The 19965-nt window shown below is 53.5% G+C and overlaps 2 long non-coding RNA genes across 3 annotated transcripts, besides 1 other annotated feature; one reads left to right on the top strand and one right to left on the bottom strand.

Annotated features, from left to right (window-relative positions):
* Positions 1 to 19965: part of a sequence alteration artifact (region identified as an assembly artifact by the Genome Reference Consortium. This region falsely duplicates sequence located at GRCh38 chr21:44095806-44253496) that runs on past both edges of the window.
* Positions 10165 to 17139, bottom strand: LOC124900468 (uncharacterized). Of its 2 annotated transcripts, none has more exons than XR_002958636.2 (3): positions 17052 to 17139; positions 16378 to 16639; positions 10165 to 13076 (listed from the first exon to the last, which is right to left on the bottom strand). It is a non-coding gene; the product is annotated as an uncharacterized LOC124900468 (long non-coding RNA). The 2 variants fall into 2 exon arrangements; XR_951078.4 differs by having other exon boundaries at positions 10165 to 11808.
* On the top strand, positions 12683 to 19965 carry LOC124905052 (uncharacterized). Its single transcript, XR_007067918.1, has 3 exons — positions 12683 to 12884; positions 15967 to 18068; positions 18318 to 19965. It is a non-coding gene; the product is annotated as an uncharacterized LOC124905052 (long non-coding RNA).

The raw sequence follows: 19965 nt of genomic DNA, 5'->3' as shown, positions 1-19965 counted from the left end.
GGAGAGATGAGAAGGGAACAGATGATTTTGGGGCCGTTCAGGTTTCACACACGGTTTTAGTCCCAACATTGCAGTCCTCATCGGCAAACGTGATCCCTCCCCCACCGCGTTGGAACATTCTGTACCAGGTTGTATCTTATTGTTTGAAAACAAGTTCTGCTAGTTAATTGGTTCGGGAGCAGCACGGGTAAGTAACCTCCCCATCTTCCCAACTTGGAATGTCTGCCTCTTTGTAGATGTATCATTGTTGATAGGCTTTTTATTAAAGTTAAATTCCCTTTATGTTTTTAACGTTTGATTATAATTTAATGTCTTCATTTTTCTTTTTAAGCATTTCAAATACCTGACAGGAAACATTTGCAAAACAGACAGCCAGACTTGTCAAACACTTAAATTACTCTTATCCTTTTAATAAATCAAGCTCATAGCAAACCAAATGCACTTAAACATTCTAATAGCTTCACAAACTTAGTTACTGAACATCTCCCAGCTTAAAGTTATAACTCTAATAGAAATAATACATTATCCCTAAACTGTACTTTAAAAATGACTATGCACTTTGGGAAGCTGAGGCAGTGGGTCACTTGAGACCAGCCTGGGCAACGTGGTGAAACCCCGTCTCTACTGAAAATACAAAAAGTAGCCGGGTGCCTGTAGTCTCAGCTAGTTGGGAAGCTGAGGTGAGAGAATCACTTGAGCCCAAGAAGTTGAGGCTGTAGTGAGTAGTGATCACACCACTGCACTCCAGTCTGGGCAATGGGAATGAGACCCTGTCTCAAAATAGTAATAATAATAATAATAATAATAAATAATGACTGATACAAAGAGTTGGCTCACTGAATTATTTCTAGTAAATTTTTGTTTGTTTCTATATAGTATGGTTTATTGCTGACTTTGACATATCTGTAAAGAATTTAACATTTTGGCCAGGCACGGTGGCTCACGCCTGTAATCCCAGCACTTTGGAAGGCCAAGGCAGGTGGATCATCTAAGGTCAGGAGTTCAAGACCAGCCTGGCCAACATGGTAAAACCCCATCTCTACTAAAAATACAAAAATTAGCCAGGCATGTTGGCAGGTGCCTGTAATCCCAGCTACTCGGGAGGCTGAGGCAGAAGAACCACTTGAACCTGGGAGGCGGAGGTTGCAGTGAGCCGAGATTGTGCCATTGCACTCCAGCCTGGGTGACAAAATGAGACCTTGTCTCTGCCAATTAAAAAAAATCATATTCTGGGCCGGGCGTGGTGGTTCATGCCTGTAATCACAGCATTTTGGGAGGCCAAAGCAGGAGAATTGCTTGAGTTCAGGAGTTCAAGACCAGCCTGGGCAACATAGCAAGATCTGGTCTCTATATTTAAAAAATAATAATAATCATGGCTGGGCACGGTGGTTCACACCTGTAATCCCAGCACTTTGGGAGGCTGAGGCAGGTGGATCACTTGAGGCCAGAAGTTTGAGACCAGCCTGGCCAACATGGCAAAACCCTGTCTCTACTACTGAAAATTAGCCGGGAATGGTGGCACACGCCTATAATCTCAGCTGCTTGGGAGGTTGAGGCACGAGAATCACTTGAACCCGGGAGGCAGAGGTTGCAGTGAGCCAAGATTGTGCCACTGCCCTCCAGCCTGGGTGACAGAGCGAGACTCTATCTCAAAAAAAAGTAAAAATAAAATAATCATATTCTGCATATTCATCCCATATCAGATACACAATTTGCACCTACCTTCTCCCATTTCATGGTTGTGTTTTCACTGTTCAGTGTCCTTGGTGCACAGATGGTTTAAATTTAATGTTTTTTTCTGTTGCTGCTTGTGCTTTTGGTGTCATATCCTAGAAATCACTGCCAAAAGCAATGTTGTCAGGCTTTTCCCCTGGGTTTTTGTCTGAGAGTTCTATATTTTTTGCTGTTACATTAGGGTTGTTGGTCTGTTCTGAGTTAGTTTTGGTACATGGTGTGAGGTAGGGGTCCAGCACTATTCTCTTGAGCGTGGAGATGGTGATGGGCTTTTCCGAGAAGAAGTAGTTACCCAGGATTTTTCCCTGTAGATGGCTCTGTGTTCTTGGTTTGCTTTGCCTCTGGCTGTAAACTACTGGCAGAGCAGACTGTGGACATGAGATCAAATGAAGGTTTAATGAAGACCATTTGTTTAACCTTGGCTTGGATTTGCAAGTAAACAGACTTAGAGACAGACCCAGACATCTGAAACCACTTGATTAGTCTATGAACAACACAAATTCCACACACAGATGGAAATTTGACCCTTGGAAACTTACCTTATGTGCTGCCTTATCCTCAGCTCCTAGCAGGCTCAACACTAACTTGGAAAATGGAAGGATTGTGGGAATCCTGCATCGTTGCTGCTCATGGACTCTACCCATTCCTAGTGGTTTAGAGGCTACCCAGCCAGCTCCTTCTGCCTGGCCTCCCTCTGCCTGTCTGTCCGTCCAGCCGGCAACACCGTCCTCGCTCCTGTCCTCTGGCCACAGTGGCCCTATCCCATGGCGTCACATGGGCACACATCTCTGTGTTCGTCATCCAGGCCAGGAGCCTCTTGTCTACTGGCCTTGGGACCTGGCTTGCTGTGTGCTCTGGGCCTGGGAGCCTCCCTCCATCCATAGACTCAGGCCGTGCTTATGCCCTGTGCTCACATGTGTGAGGGGGTCTGCAGTGCACGTGTGATGTGGTGTGTGTGGCACTCTCAGCTGCCCTTCCTGTCTTCTCTCCCCCGAGCCTAGGTAGTCCTCCACCATGTTGGGACGCAGGGCCCCAATAAGAGGGATCTTATTTCTCCTTTGCTTGTGAAGCTCAATTTGGCTGGATATGAAATTCTGGGTTGGAAATTATTTTCTTTAAGAATGTTGAATATTGGCCCCCAATCTCTTCTGGCTTGTAAAGTTTCTGCTGAGAGGACCACTGTTAGTCTGATTCCACTGCTGTCCCATCAGTGGCACAGGGCCCTCCATGTCCTTGGTGCACATTGGCCCCAAGGGACCCAGACAAGGTGGGGCTGGGTGGGGGCTGGCGTGGGCTGTGTACACCCAGGTCGAGCTGAGCCTGGCCCACATTGGGCACCTACAAGTCAGGAGGACCCCCACCCACCTGGTACTTACACATCAGGGGTTCCCAACCCCCGGGCCTCAAACCACTACTGGTCTGTGGCCTGTTAAGAACGGAGCCTCACAGCAGGAGATGAGGATGGGGAGCAGTGAGCATTCCAGCCTGAGCACCACCTCCTGTCAGATCAGCGGCCACATTAGAGTCTCATAGGGGCGCAGGGGAGGGATCTCAATTGTGTGCTCCTTATGAGAATCTAATGCCTGATGATCTGAGATAGAACAGTTTCATCCCAAAACCATCCCCCTACCTGCATCCATGGAAAAATTGTTCTCCATGGAACTGTCCTGGTGCCCAAAAGGCTGGGGAGTGCCATTGTAGAGCACATAAGAAGCTCTGTGATTTGAGGCATCAGGATGGAGATGAGGGACAATGGTGTTATTTCAAAAGGCTGCATGCTGTTTGTCCTTCTTCCCTCAGGACGAGGTGTGATGAGCCAGAAAGTCTGATGGGGCTTCCCAGCACTATCCTAAGTCCTCCTCTGTAGGGCCTTGGGCTGCCTCTGGGCCAGGAGGCCACCACTCGGCCAGTCCCCCAGACCCCAGGGGCTGGGGCTGCTCCCTGCTGGGCTGTCTGGCTGGCTTTCCCTGCCTGCTCTGATGGTGAGTCATTCTGGGTCTCACTTGTGACTGAGTGGCTTCAGGACACAGGACACAGTTCACATCTCAGGGCTTTAGGCTCTGGGCTCTCTCTGGACATCTAGGGGCCAGGGAGGGACCTCAGGCCTTTGTAATGGGAGGCGACCCTTCTTCCCTGGACACACAGCTGAAAATAGACACCCCCCCGCCACCGTGCATGAGCACACGGGGGTCCCCACCCAAGGGTGTCATGTGATAGGATGAGGGCAGGGATCCACAGCTCGGGCTGGTGGAGCGGGGTGGGTCTGGGCAGAGGTCCCTGGTGCTGGCCTCTGTGTTTGGCAGAGATGCAAAGGCAGGCAGGGAGGGGAAGCTTCGGAGTGGGAGAGCGGAGGCACAGGTGTGCCCTGGGAAGGCAGGCGGCCAGGCGTGGGGGTGGATCACCAGACAGCAGGGTTCCTATGGGATTGGTGAGGGCTGCACAGTGGCTTTCTCTGGTTGGTCCTAAGTTTAAAGCGAAGCCGGGTGCGGTGGTTCACGCCTGTAATCCTAACACTTTGGGAGGCCAAGGCCGGTGGATTACTTGAGGTCAGGAGTTTGAAAACAGGCTGGCCAACACGGTGAAACCCCATCTCTAATAAAAATACACAAAAAATAGCCATGCGTGGTGCCAGGCACCTGTAATCCCTGCTACTCGGGAGGCTGAGGCTAGAGAATTGCTTGAACCTGTGAGGCAGAGGTTGCAGTGAGCCGAGATCACGCCACTGCACCCCAGCCTGGGCAACAGAGCAAGATTCTGTCTCAAAAAAAAAAAAAAAAGTGGGAGCAAAAATTAGGGAAGCTAATTAATGAGTGAATTACATTTGTCATTTGATGTATTAATCCAGTCCCAGCTGTTTGGAGCTGATGGTAACAGGAGCTGTTGTTTAGCTTCCTGGATGCTCTCTGGAGATGACAGTCTCCCTTCCTATGACTCAACACAGCAGGCGGCCTCTGGGCTGCTTACCAGGGATGAGGGCGACCTCCCGGGCTGGTTATGGGGGCAGGGGGGAGGCCTCCTGGGCTGGGTGCTGCAGATGTGGGGTGGAGTTCCATTTTTATAGCTGGGCTGGCCGCTGTCCATGTGCACATTCAGTCTCTAACAACTAAAATTTCTCATCGTAAGTTTAAGTAGTTGCAAAGGATATAACTTCTGATACATTATAAAACCAATATGTAAGAAATAACCATGAAGTCACTCTTTTAAATGTATTCAAAACCCCAGTGATTTGATAGCCACCATTATCTGTTTTAAAAATACAGGCAAGCTGGGCGTGCTGGCTCATGCCTGTAATCCCAGCACTTTGGGAGGCCAAGGCCAGAGGATGACTTGAGCCCAGGAGTTCCAGACCAGCCTGGGCAACATAGCAAGACCCCATCTCTATAGAAGTAAAAATAAAAAATTAGCCATGGTGTGATGGCACGGGGCTGTGGTCTCAACTACCCGGGAGGCTGAGATGGGAAGATCACTTGAGCCCAGCAGGTCGAGTCTGCAGGAAGCCGTGATCACATCACCGCACTCCAGCTGGGATGACAGAGCAAGATCTTGTCTCAATTCATCCGTCCATCCATACATCCATGCGTCACTCAGTTTAAAAGAACAAAAACCAAAGAAATCTGAAAAGCTTACAACGAAAAGACGCTCAGTATTCTCTTCTCCTCCCTGGATTAGCTGGGTGGGCGCCAGGTCATCACAGGGTCCTTGTAAGAGGAAGGCAAGGGGTCAGAGTCGGGCAGAGGAAGCCAAGGTCAGAGGGGAGGAGAGGCTGCTGACTTTGAAGATGGAAGAGAGGCCTGAGCCAAGGGGTGCAGCGGATCCTAGAAATGGTAAGAGGGACACAGATCCTCCCCTAGCGCCTCCAGGAGGAGTGGAACCCAGCCAACACCTGGATCGGAGCTTCTGACCTCCAGGGCTGTAGGAGAATAAATGTGTGTTGCTGAAGCCACTGACTAGTCAGCTACTGCAACCGTTGGAAACTACAGCTATTATCACAATGCCCATAAAACACGCTCCAGCAGCGTGAGAACAAAGACAGTTGTGTGGTGGTTATGAAACCTCACCTAACAAGACCATGTTTAAGAAAAGCCAAATAAAAACAAGAAGTAATTATTTAAGCGGTATCCTAATAAACGGCTTGCAAAAATATGTGAGCAAATGAAGTGGTCTCCATCCAGAACCTTGATGCTGGTATTTATTTTGCTACTTAAGAGAGTAAGAGGGCCATTTGGATCGTGTCATGGAGGGTGTTTCGACATCATGTTCCTGCTAGCAGTTGCAGAGGCAACACACTGGTCCAGGCTGTGCATCTGGGCTCCAGGCCGCTTCCCGTGGGGCAGGGCAGCTGCTCCAGGAAGAGGCTGAGAGCTGGGGTCTGGGTGACTGGGCTGGGATCTGCGCCGGGTGGGGAGGAGAAGCCCACCGCACTGGGGTTCAGGGGTTCCCAGAAGAGGAGACCAAAGCCATGCATGGTGCTTTGCAGCCTGAGTCTGAGCTGAGCTGGTGGGGGGACCCCAACACAAGGAGGACGCACCGGGTCACAAGGACTGTGCTCGCTGAACGTCAGGGACAGGGTGGGCCCTCCTTCCCAAAGCCATCAGTGCTCCCCACTGGGCCAGCGTCTGGCTCACAGCTGGGAGAGCTGGGAAGGGCTTCATGGGTCATGGGCACCCACCAAGGGCAGTGTTGCTGACCATATGGAGCCAGGAAAACCAAAGTTGCACATTTTTTTTTTTTTTTTCCAGAACACAAGATTCCCTTAGAGTGTTGTTCTTCACGGTTCATGATTTGGTTCAATTGTTACCATTCCTGATGCTTCCTCCTAGGAAACAAGAGTAAACCACAATGGCCTGTAAAACAAATATTAAAATCTCGCATGTACTCTTGGGACAGACGTCGTCTTGAGTGATGGCCTTCCCGGCCCTGACCAATGCCTGTGCACATCCTGAGTTTGTCTGAGAGCCAGAGACCCCCTCTGAGAAATGGGATGGCTCCAGCTGGGAAGCCCCCGCCCTGCCAAGGAATGTCACGAGCCTCAAGCAGATTTGCTCTTAGATATTTCTTTTTAATCGAGTCTAACAGTGATTGTTGAGCCGTCCTTCATTTTTTTTTTTTTTTTGTAAGATGCCTCTGTCAAGAAGGAGCCACGAGTTGGCTTTCATGGAATGGGCGCTCTTGGTGGCCAAATAGAAATAAAACCTGGCTGTCTGGTCCTGATCCACTCACAGAAGTGGCGTAAACACCTTATTTATGATCTGGGACATTCAACACCATCTTATAAAAGATTCATAGAATACACATTCACACACCCACAAAAATCAAAAGAGCAGATTTTCCAAAAATAGGTGCAAGAAAGATCCAACTTCCAGGATAAAATTTTAGAACCAACATTTCCATTAACAAAAGCGGTCTTGTCTAAAACTCTACCGACCGCGCTAAAATCCCATGCAAAACAGAGCTCTGGTTACGTAGATCGTGATCAATAATGAGAAACTGTGAGGCATCCCCGTGGGATCTGACACTTCCTAGGGGAGCTTCTCTCCACTGGTAATAAAGATATAATTAGGAATTTCAACTACCTGTGATTTTGCCAACTTACGGCATTTGTTGAGAATTTCGGTCCCTGTGTTTATGCACACACCTTTCAACCTTAGATTCGACGGTGATGGGTTAGTAAACGTCAATTCTAAAGTGGTCGTTTTCAACCAGGGGCAATTTTACCCCGCAGGGGACACTGGCAGTGTCTGGAGACATGTTTGGTTGTCATGACTTGGGGCAGAGGTGCCACGGGCACCTGGAGGGTGGAGGCCAGGGTGCGGCTCAATACCCTAACCACACAGGATGGCCCCAGGACAAAGATGCCCCTGGTGCTGAGAGCAGGGCCCTGTTCTAAGAGATGGGTGGCTGGAGCCTGGCTGGAGGGCACTAGTGGCACTCTGGGCTGGTCTCCCAGGGCCCCATCTGCCAGGTCGGGGGCCCACGTGGGCCTGCAGGATGTGCGTGCTTCTCTGCTGTTGAGATTGCATCAGCACAACACCCACAGCCGTGACACGGGGGCAGGCACCTCAGTGACGCCAGAGTCGGGACGGGAGGTGTGGAGATCTGGGCTTGCTTCCTCTTTTCAGTCCCAGGACAGCTCCTCTTTGGCTGTGGGAGGCCCAGCTTCAGCCTTGTCTGTGGCTTCCTGGTGGGAGGACACAGGCCTTGAGGGACGTTTGTCCGAGACGGTCCTCATCCTACTGGTAGGGACACAGAGCAGCTGTTCCTCTGGCCCCTCCAGGAGCAAGACACATGCACTGCTGAGGCCTTGGAAGCCTACACAGGTTTATCACCCACGGCCAGACCTGTCTGTCAGGGAGCAGGTGGGGTCATCCTGCCCTGAAGCACCGATGAGCTGATCCCGGTCATGCAGAGTGGGTGGGGACCTCTTGGCCGGGCCTGTTCATGTAGCACACACGGCTTTGCTGCCCATAGAATCCAGGGCCCCCAGTGTGAGCACCACTCTCCATCCCTGAGGCCGAGCCTTACCCTGGAGGCAGCCTCAGGTGAGATGCCCCTAATGGAGCCACCTGGCAATGGACCGCTCTCAGGTCCTTCAGCTCGGTGCACTCACCCGGGAGCCCTGCGTTCTGTCCTGGGGTAGAGGCTCAGGGTTGGTTTGAAGCCATATAGTCAGCTCCCAGAGTCACAGAAACGTCCAAGGAAGAAAACTGTCCGATTACAGACTTTTAAAATTCATTCATAGTTTAATCAAGAGAACTTGCTGTTCCTTCCTCAAATTTCCTAGAATTGGTCTTCTCATAATCACCACCTAGGGCACAGCTGTGGCCAAGGCTCCCATGATGAAGCGTCTGTGTCAGCGCTGACGAGGTCTGCCGAGGACGCGTTTCTCTCTGCAGCCCGGCACCAGTCTCAAGGCCATCGGCTCCGACAGCGTCACCTCCTGGGACCTTCCCTTCATGTATGGTCCCAGCGGCATGCGGGCCTGGTGGAGGAGGTCCTGACCTGCCGCCCAGGGATGGCCGGTCCAGGCGCAGGGCTGATTGTCCACTTCTGGCCCCTGAGGTACCGGGAGGGCTGGTGAGCAGCGTGTCTCGCTCTGAGACCGGCCAGGCTGCTGGGGCAGGCATCTGATGTACAGTAGTTCCCACACGTGGCAATGTCACCAGCAAGAGCCACGTATGATAAATTCAGGCCGTCCACCGTGGCAACACTGGGAAGGCTGATTCTGTAGGAAAGGATTGGCCTTGGGCCATCACTGTTCAAAGAAGAAGAAATCCCTGGATCACTGTCTGATCCAACTCCAGACAGACACTCCACACAGGATTCCTCCTGGGGATCACGGCTCTTCTCTTGGCGGAGAAGAAGGAGGGAGAATGAGCCCATGTCGGGGGCCTCTAGGCAGCCCGCCACGGCCCTACAACTCAAAGAAAACTCACCAGTCCCTGGTCACTCGGATGTCCTTGGAGGCGCTTGGATTTACTGCAGGGACCCCAAGAGTCGGCCACGGCAGAGCCCCGTCTGCCAGCCCACCGAGGACTCGGGGAGGGGAGGGAGCACTGCAGCAGAACGGAAAATGGGTCCACGCTCAGCTTCTTGGTTTATCATTTTAGACTTTATGCGTTGGCTTCCTGCGACACATGGTTACATTTTAACCCTTTTACAACCACATTTCCTCCCCCAATCCTCTCAATGTCATGATTTTTCTTTTTTCTTTTTTCTTTTTTTTTTTTTTTGAGACGGAGTCTCGCTCTGTCGCCCAGGCTGGAGTGCAGTGGCACAACCTCGGCTCACTGCAAGCTCCGCCTCCCGGGTTCACACCATTCTCCCGCCTCAGCCTCCCGAGTAGCTGGGACTACAGGCGCCCGCCACCACACCCAGCTAATTTTTTCATATTTTTAGTAGAGATGGGGTTTCACCCTGTTAGCCAGGATAGTCTCGATCTCCTGACCTCGTGATCCGCCTGCCTCAGCCTCCCAAAGTGCTGGGATTACAGGTGTGAGCCACCATGCCCGGCCATGATTTTTCTTTTGGAAATGGAGTCTCACTCTGTCGCCCATGCTGGAGTGCAATGGCACAGTCTCAGCTCGCCGCGCCCTCTGCTTCCTGGCTTCAAGCAATTCCCTTGCCTCAGCCTCCTATGTAGCTGGGATTACAGATGCGCGCCACCATGCCCAGCTAATTTTTGTATTTTTGGTAGAGACGGGGTTTCACCATGTTGGCCAGGCTGGTCTCGAACTCCTGTCCTCAAGTGATCCACCCACCTTGGCCTCCCAAAGTGCTGCGATTACAGGCGTGAGCCCCACGCCCTGCCTCCTTGTCATGGCTTTTACTCCACAGTGTGTATGCCGTTGAAATTGAATAAATATGGATTACAACAGAGACCACTGTTGTGCTATGATTACATTTGTCAACTTAGATAACAGAGAGGCTCTGTGAAAGAAAACGACATTTATTCAAAAATAGGGCGTTGCAGTCGGAACACACGTGCGGTGGTAGACTATGTGTGTGTTCAGGGAGGTAAAGGGAGAAAAAGGCTTTTAAAGGGAAAACGAGGATCACACCGTTGTTTTGAGGCGATTCCCCTTGTCTACAAGCATCAGCGGCGGGGGGTGCCAGTCCAGGGTTGGACCGCAGTTGCTGGGCAGATGTCCTCACAGTATTTTCTGTCCATGGTTGCAGTGGACTTCATACAGCGTTGTGGTTTCTCAGTCTTTTGTGATAGTAATACAAGAGTTATTAAGAAATAATTTTTATGCCGGGTGCGGTGGCGCACGCCTGTAATCCCAGCACTTTGGGAGGCCAAGGCAGGCAGATCACCTGAGATCAGGAGTTCGAGACCAGCCTGGCCAACATGGTGAAACCCCATCTCTACTAAAAATACAAAAATTAGCCAGGCGTGGTGGCGGGTGCCTGTAATCCCAGCTACTCGGGAGGCTGAGGCAGAAGAACCACTTGAACTAAATGACCATGATCCTGTGGCACGAGCAGGTAGACGGTAAGAGGGAGGGCGTCTCTGATACAGAATCTCGTCCCGATGAACTGGAAGCCCTGGCTACAGTGTGAAAACGCCAGCTTCTCTGCCTGGTTTGCAGGTGAAATGTCTGTGGTTATGGCATTGGATGGTTTGGTGAACTCCTGTGGGGCCCATAGGTCAGATATGAGACTTGTTCCTTAAAATTCATCTAGTTTCAGTTTATAGGGATTTAGGAACAGAGCAGTTTTTATTTTTAGTAATTCCATGGAAGAAATTTTGACTGAAGGAATCTAGAAGAATTTAGGATCTAGTCTAGTCTGTAGGTAGATATAAGAGCTCAAATACAATGCCCAGAGCTACAATCTCCTAACAGATGTATTATAGCTTTTCTTTTCCTTTTTCAAAAAGTATAGAGATAAGGGTCTCTCTATTTTGCCCAGGCTGGTCTCGAACTCCTGGGCTCAAGTGATCCTCCTACCTCAGCCTCCCAAAGTGTTGGGATTACAGGCGTGAGGCACTGCACCCAGGCCTACAGCTTTTCTTTAGAAACATAAGCTTTTCTCCCTATGTTGATCAGATGGGAATCTCAGATTTAATGGCCTCTTGAGGCTAAGAAGCCAAACCAAGGCAGGCTTTAGATTTGACCGATAGCCCTGAGGTTCCTGGGCCTGCCAGATGGTGACAGTTTTTATTTACTCTCGCTGTAAGGCTGGGAACTTTCTTTTTATTTGGAGGGGGGATGGAGTTTTGATCTTGTTGCCCAGGCTGGAGCGCAATGGCGCGATGTTGGCTCACTTCAACCTCTGCCTCCCGGGTTCAAGCGGTTCTCCTGTCTCAGCCTCCCAGGTAGCTGGGATTACAGGCGGCTGTCACCACGCCCAGCTAATTTTAGTATTTTTAGTAGAGATGGGGTTTCACCATGTTGGCCAGGCTGGTCTCAAACTCCTGACACCAGGTGATCTTCCCACCTCAGCCTCCCAAAGTGCTGGGATGATAGGCGTGAGCCAGCGCGGCCGGCCAGGCTTGGAACGCTTGAGGCACATTCTCAGAGACACGATTTCGGTCACAGCCTTGGTAATATGACTGGTGTTTTCAGTTGTAGCCTGTCATGAAAAGAGATTGACACATTACATTTTTGATACTACCTTACGTTTTTCCTGGCCTTTTGTTTATTTTTTATTTATTTATTTTTTAGAGACAGTGTCTCACTGTGGACGTCCAGCCTCTGGAACTGTGAGAGGTACATGTCTGTTATGTAGGCTGCCCAGGCTGTGGAACTGTGTCATAGTGGCCTGAGTGACTTAAGCACCTGCCTGTAGGCCAGGACTGTGGCTCCACAGCCCAGCTTCAAGCCTGGCCGACCAGGGGTTTGGCATGAAGACCCCGGCAGGGCTGGGGCTGTGCTGGAATCCACCCGGAAGTTTCCTGCCCCTTGGGCTGCCCACCAGGTCCCCTTTCTGCTCTGATCAAGCTGGACAAAACGTCGTGGGGCCACAGCACAGGGGGCCAACGCAAGCTGGGATCGTCAGACGTTAGGAAATCCCAAGGAAGAAGAGAAAGGGGACACATTCGGGAGACGTCGGCACACGCTCGAAGCAGCGGACAGGCACCTCTCTGTGGACAAGGCAGACTGGGCGGCCGAGATTCCGCATAGATGCCTGCTTCCTCCACGACCTCCACGTGTGGCTGGCCCAGTCCGGGTCCCCCTCACCTCCTCTGTCTGTCTTGGTGGCCTCACGCCGTGGGCTGTGATGCCGGCTACGCTGCTTGGGTGGCCAAGGGTCTGAGCTGCAAGACGCCCAGCCTGGGTCTCTCCCGAGCTCTCCCACGTCCTGTCTGCTCCTCCTCCGAGCTCCCGGTTGACTCTCACGACTGCACCAGCCTCTCCCCCAGGAAGGCGTGGAAACAACCTCCTTCTCCCAGGCCCGCTCTGCCTCCTGCGTTTCAAGGCAAATCCGTTCCTCCAGGAGATGATGCAACCACATCCTGTTGGAGCCCAGAGAAGTGCGGATGCAGCCCGGGGCTCTTTCTTTCCTAGAACCCTGCCTGGGAGTGGCTTCCCTGAACTAAGGACAGAGACTTTGTCTTCGTTGCCTCTCGGCCTGTGGGCACTGAGCATACAGTAGGTGCTCAGTAAATGCTTGCAGGCCGATGCCCAGAGCCATTAGCCCTCATCATGGTGAGCTCGGCAGCCGGTGTTGGGGCTGGGCTGGGCCTAGGTGTGCGTGGGGGCGGTGCTGGTCTGCTTTGCTGGGAGCCATGGACACCGGAGGAACAGGGCCCCATCAGTGCGGTCAGAGTGCAAACTCGGAGCGTCCTTCTCTGGAAAACGAATCGCAGTGGCCCCGATCTTTGGGGCTTTCTGTGTCCCCTGTGCATGGTTAGAGAAGAGAAAACATGCACTGGTTTCCTGAAAATCCCTAGGATTTCTTCAGAGGTCTCAGCTTCTGCCCACAGCCTCTGGGGAGCAGACCAGGAGCCCCGCAGCACGGGAGTCCCCAGACCCACCCTGACCACAGCCCAGGAATCCCGAAGCAGAGGCTCTGGGTCAGCTTCTGCAGACGCTGGAGAAGGCGGGAGGCTCAGGGCTGGGCCTCCAGGTGTAACCGCCTGATGGGCTCTTCCTGCCCCTGCACAGACAAAACCTCTTCACTGGGCCCAAGGCATTGCTATAAAGAGTTTAATAGACACCAGGCTGGCCATGCCACGTGGGAGATGGAGTTATTACTCAAATCAATCTCCCCCAAGAGACGGAGTTATTACTCAAATCAATCATCTCCCCCAAAATTCTCAGGCTCGGGTTTTTCAAGGATAGTTTGGCAGGCCAGGGAGTCTGCTTCTGGGTGGGGCCACAGGACCCGTTTGTGGCGGGCAGGGGGGTTGGTGTGTCCAAATCCAGGTGGAGCCATCATTGTCAGAAATGCAAAAACCTGAAAAGACACCTCAAAAGGCCGATCTTAGCGTCTACAATAGTGATTCATCCTCAGGAGTAATTGGGGAAGTTGCAAATTGTGTGACCTCCGGAATAATGGCTGTTACAATTTTTGCAAAGGCAGTTTCACAGGGATGAGGCCAGGACAGAGGGCACAGCCCGCTGGGACTCCAGGGCTGCCCCTGCACCCCCCATATCAGCTCAGAGAGGCCTGGTGTCCCCGCTGCCAGGGGTTGACACCCACTGGTACCCCCTGTGGAGCAGCTGTGGGCGGGGGCTCTGCAGGGAGGGTGTCGGGGGGGCCAGGTGAGCCAGCCCAGAGCCATGCCCGCACCTGCTGTGGGCCCTGGCCAGGGCAACCGCTGCCTCTTCCTTTGATGTCCCTACCCTATGCCCCTCTCTTCAGGCCTGTTCTGCCTGACCCCGCTACCTCCATCCGGCTGCCTTCCATGAGCAGCAGCTGCCTTCCCCCCACACCCTTCCTTGGTGGCCCCGCCCCTCTGATCTCCGTGAGCCAGGATCTCCCCCAGGATCCCTATTTCCCACGGGCTTTTGGCAATGGGCTGCTCACCCCCTCCTTCCCCTCCTCCTCATTCATCTGCCATCTGTGAAATGTGGAGGAGGGGCCTGCCCTGTGCCAGGATCTGTGCCCTAGACACTTCCCCAGCCAGGCCCAAGGGCTGAGCGTGAGGCTGGCAGGTCTGCACTTGAGGTGGATGGTGAGGGTGCCCTCGCCCACCTGCAGCCATTGTCTGCTGAGTACCTGTGGTGCAGATGGGGATGGCTGCAGGGGGGTCTCAGCTCACGCAGTATTGCGGCCATGGGTGCTGGACATTGGTAGGTCTCTCTGAGCAGAGCCCGATGGAAGTGAGAAGGGCGTGCGTTAGGGGAGCATTTGGAGAGGGAGCCACGGGTACAGCTGCCCTGCAAGCTCCAGCGCCCATGGGAAAAAGGGACCGAGGGGGAGAGGGGAGGGGATAGGGGGAGGGGAAGGGGATGGGGCGTCGGTGGTTGCTTGGGCTCTTAGGGTGGGGGTGATGCCTGCAGTCTTGGTGTTGAAGGGAAGACCAGGGAAGAGGGAAGGCAGGAGGCCTGGGAGAGAAAGGGAAGAGCTGTTGGGTGCTGGCGGAGTGGAGCGGGCTCTTGCATCACTCCATCCCAGGCTCCACCCTGCCTGCACCTGGAGGCCTCCCTCACCTGGCTCCTCTGTGCTCCAGACCCCTCCCCTTTCCAGGTCCAGGATTCCCCCTGCCCAAACAGCACTGACCAGGCCCCCAGGGCCTGTGCCTGCAGCCCCCAGGGACGGGTGGGCGTAAAAAGATACAGCGGGCCAGGCGGCTCACGCCTGTAATCCCAGCACTTTGGGAGGCCAAGGCGGGTGGATCATGAGGTCAGGAGTTCAAGACCAGCCTGGCCAAGATGGTGAAACCCTGTCTCTACTAAAAATACAAAAAAATTAGCCGGCGTGGTGGCCTGTGCCTGTAATCCCAGCTACTCCGGAGGCTGAGGCAGAGAATTGCTTAAACCTGCAGGGGTGGAGGTTGCAGGGAGCCGAGACCGCACCACTGCACTCCAGCCTGGGCGACAGACCAAGACTCCGTCTCAAAAAAAAAAAAAACAAAAAAACACAGCGGCCATTCTGGGAGCCTTGGAATGACCCTGAGAAGTGAGTGTGAGCATGTCTGGAACACGCAGCCGAGCCTGAAGGAGGACTGGGTGCCTGCAGTGGGAGCCATCTCCCTTCTGGGTTTTCTGATTTTAGCCTCGCGCTGCCTTTGAGCGATTTTCCAATCTGTACATTACAGATAACAGAGAGCAATGCAGATAACTCTTGCTTATAGCCACGTGTAGTGGGTTGACAGTGGCCCCCAAAAGCTATGTGTAAGTCCCGACCCTCATGCCTATGGGGTTGAGCTTATTTGGAAATAGGGTGTTTGTAGATGCGTCATTAGATTAAGGCTTTTTTTTTGTTTTTTTGTTTTGTTTTTTGTTTTTTTTTTTTTTTTAGGCGGAGTCTCACTCTTGTTGCCCAGGCTGGAGTGCAGTGGCACGATCTCGGCTCACTGCAACCTCTGCCTCCTGGGTTCAAGCAATTCTCCTGCCTCAGCCTCCCAAGTAGCTGGGATTACAGGCACCCACCACCACACCCAGCTAATTTTTGTATTTTTAGTAGAGATGGGGTTTCACTATGCTGGCCAGGCTGGTCTTAAACTCCTGACCTCAGGCAACCTGCCTGCCTTGGCCTCCCAAAGTGCTGGGATTGCAGGCGTGAGTCACCGTGCCCAGACAAATTAAGGCTCTTGAGACGAGGTCATCCTGGGTTATGCAGATGGACCCTGAATCCGACACTAGCACCCGTGTGGAAGGAACGAGAGGGAGATTTGGGGTCCGCAGAGGCAAACCACAGGAGGACGGAGTCGGAGACTGGAGCACCGCGGCCTTGATCGGGGGACACCAGGGCTGCCGGCTGTGCCAGAAGGGGCTGAGGCTGGACCGGATTCTCTCCGAGTTCCCAGAAGGAGCCAGTCCTGCCGACGCCTTGATGCTGGACTCTGGCCTCCAGAAATGTGCGAGGACAAACATCTGCGGTTTCTAGGCCCCGCCTGTGGTCCTCTGTTGCAGCAGCCTGGACAGTCTGGACTGCCTGGACAGCATGCAGATGGGCTCTGCCCGCGGCTGCCCACGAGTTCCCACCGCCCGCCCGTCCGTGGGAGAGCCAGTCCTCGTATGTGAAGCGTACCTGTATCCCTTTACTCCGCGTACACAGGTGCCTTTGTCACTTCTCCTTTGACCTGGCTGGCACATCTTACCGGTTTCTGCGCTAACAATGAGTTGAAGGAAATCTTGAACGCGCGTTCATTTTATATCGGTATCAGAGTCTGTTTATTTCTTGTTGACACTAATCTTTGAGCATGAGTAGTTTAGTGATTGTGAAACAGAAACTTCTGGATACAAAATCAGTCTCCTGGCTGTGACCCAATCATCTTCGCAGTTCTGATTACCTGTGATTAAGAAAATAAATAAGAACACCCATTGGGGGAAGGCTTCCCTCCCCCGGGCACAGCAGCTTTAAAACCGAAAGGGAAGTGGGTGCTGTGAGCAGCTCTGTTCAGGCCTAAGGCCACGCATGTGTGCCCCGTGGGGGAGACATGCACCAGCGAATCAGGAAACAGTGGTGACAGCCGTTCCGGGAGGCTGACTGGGGGTGCAGGGGTCACTTTTCTAATGTGGGTGGGTCTGTGTCCCCTGCAGGAACGTGGCTGCAGCAAAGCCGGTCAGCCAGCGGTCAGCTCCAGCCCCTGTCCAGGCCCTGTGGGTCCTGCTGACCAGGCTGCGGTTGTTCCCAAACCAGTTCCCAGCCCCCGCTTGCCCTACTTCCTCTCACACCAGCTCCTTCCACCCCCTCACACCCACCTGCAGGCTCCCAGCCCAGGCTACTGACATCAATCATGGCAATCGCTATTCCAGAGGTATACGCGGTGGGTGGGGTCCGGTATCGCCTGCCATGCCTCACTCACCGGGCACCCAGATAACCTGAGGCCAGGGAGCAGCCACTCGCCCTGACCCATGCTCCCCGGGCCCCTGAGGCACCCAGGAGGACCACCCGGCCGCTTCTGCTCAGAGCCCAGCACCCCCGAGTCTGTGAAGAGGTCACATCTGACCACGTTTCCAGGTGGCTGCCCAGGCGTGGGTTCATGGCCGCTTCCGGTTTCCTCCTCGAGCTGAACCACACACCTGCTCTGTCCCGGGCTTTCTGGAGGGGTTTTCCGAAGTGAGACTGTGGGCTCCCTCCAGGGCTGGGGGCAGGAGGACACACGGGGAAGGTGGGCAAGCAGCCCCAGGCTGAGGGAGGCCTCCCCTCTGCAGCGTTTGTTCATTCATTTGTTCATCGCTAACACTGTCTTGGGCATCAGGGAAAACAGGTGTCTCTGGTCCACATGCAGAAGAGCCACCACCGTGGCACGACTGGATGACTCAGACCCCGGGCGGGGGGTATGATTTGGACACAGTCATTGTCCAGGGACACAACTTTGCCTGGACCAGAGCTTCTCACCCCCAGGCCATTTGAAACCCCAGGGGATACTCGACAAAGTCCAGAGACATTTTGGGTTGTTCCTTTCCAGCCCCGGCGATGGTGGGGACATGTCCATGTCTGTGTCCCTCCGGTCACTCTCTCTGGCCCTCTCCCTCCCTGGGGGCAGCTGCTCTCAGCCCTCCCTGCCCCCACATCGCCATCCTGCCTGTCCTTCTGGGCCTGCACGTTTGTTGTGTTTGGAAGGAGCCACCAAGGAGGAGGATGTCAACGTGCAAGTTCTCAGGGAAGCAGGCCCCGCAGCCTCCGTCAGTGTCTTCCGTCCGCAGGAAGAACCCAGGCCTGGGTGATTCATCGGGGCCTCAGGGCCGGGAGGCACTAAATCTTCTGCAGATGTGGTAAGATCCTATCACAGCAGAAAGGGAAGGGCTAGAGTCTCAGGGAAGGTTTTGCTAGGGAGACGGGCTTGGAGGGGGCTGAGGCTCATGGGAGCTGCAAGGGTACAGGAGGGGAGGGGACCCCAGGGCAGGTGGATGGACACCTGGGTGGGTAAGAAAAGGGCCTCTCAGAGGGCAAGGGAGGGCCAGGGAGGGAGCAGTGAGCCCTGACTGACTGTACAAGCTTAACTGGCTGCCCTTGTCCTGCAGGTGGTGTGGGCTGTGTGGATTTCGGATGTGGGCCCATAACATAGCCACACTGCTGCAAAGCAAGTGAGTCTGAGGCAAGAAGAAGGCCCAACCTTGGGAGGCTGACCTGGAGGGCAGGCAGAGGCAGGTGGTAAGGACCTGCCTTACCTGTTGAGGTGACAGTGGGGGACATATTGCAAGGAAGGAGGCCCTGGATCCTCAGGATGTGGATGGTGGGTAGAAGGGTGACAGCTAATGGATGTCCACCTGCACAGATGCCCACCTGCATGAGTGCCCACCTGCATGAGTGCCCACTTGTACCAATGTCCACCTGTACAGATGTCCACATGCAAATGCCCATCTGCACTGATATCCACCTGCACAGATGCCTACCTGCATGAATACCCACTTGCCTGAAAGCCCACCTGCACCCATGTCCACTGGCACAAATGCCCACCTGCACCCGTGTCCACTGGCACAAATGCCCACCTGCACAGAAGCCCACCCACACAAATGCCCACCTGCAAAAATGTCCGCCTGCACAGATGTCCACCTGCATGAATGCCCACCTGTGTCCACATGCACGAATACCCACCTGCACAGATGCCCACCTGCACGGATGCCCACCTGTACAAAGGCCTACCTGCGTGAATGTCCACCTGCATGGATGCCCACCCGCACGGATGCCCACCTGCACAGTTATCCATCTGAACAGCCCTCTGGTGCCTCCTTTTGCTTGCACATGTTCAAATCCTCCCAGTCCTACAGTCGATTGTTCCTAGTTGGGGTCATTCTGGGCATGTTATTCTAAAACTTGTTTTTTCCCGTCTCCACATCAAAGGAGAAAGGTCTAGCTTGCTTCTTTGCTATAGAGCAGGGCCTGAGTGAGGTCAGGACCACAGAGCAGACCCTATGAGTGTTGGTCAGGACACAGAGCAGGACCCCTTCAGGGTCTGGAAGAGGGTTCCCCAAGCTCCTGTTCAACCTGAGTGAGAGGCTCAGGCTGCCCCCAACACACTGCACAGAAAAATGGGCCATTGATTCAGAGCCACCCACGCTAACAGCAGTTCAGCTGCAGCCCTCCGGCAGGCAGGTCCTGGGAACACTAGGAACCTGAGACCCTGTCCCTTCCTGATAGCGGGGTGTGGTGACATGAGGAGAGACTGGGTACCTCCATTCTGCTCATGAAAGTCACAGAGGGGACCGGGGACCCCAGGCCCCTAGCGATACCAGCCCCCCACACAATGCCTTTCTGGGATACACCCCCCCAACACGGCCTGCCCAAGGCATCAGGAGCTGTGTAGAGGAGTCAGCTGGGGGTGGCAGAGCCCCAGGGAACAATCATGGGTCGCTGGCAGATGAGCCATGCGCCCACACAGCACAGGCCCTCACCCCTGCAGCTGGGGGAGCCCTCCTTGGGAGCGGGCCCAGGATCCGGGCAAAATGACACAGACCGGATCCAGGAGCAGACTGAGCAAAAGTGGCAAAAGTATTCTCCAGGTTAAGGGAATATTTTCACCAACAGAGAGACCAGCTGTCCCTCCAGACCCAAGGGTTCCACATCCCTGGAGGCAACCAAGCCAGATGCAAAATATTTGAAAAAGAAAAATGAAAAAAAGAACAATACAGCAATAAAAAAGAACACAAATAAAAAATACAGTATAGCTAT

The sequence above is a fragment of the Homo sapiens genome, chromosome 21, assembly GCF_000001405.40.
Source record: "Homo sapiens chromosome 21, GRCh38.p14 Primary Assembly".
Lineage (NCBI taxonomy): Eukaryota > Metazoa > Chordata > Mammalia > Primates > Hominidae > Homo > Homo sapiens.
The sequence above is the reverse complement of the archived record's forward strand: the minus strand, read 5'-3'. Positions and strand labels throughout refer to the sequence as shown.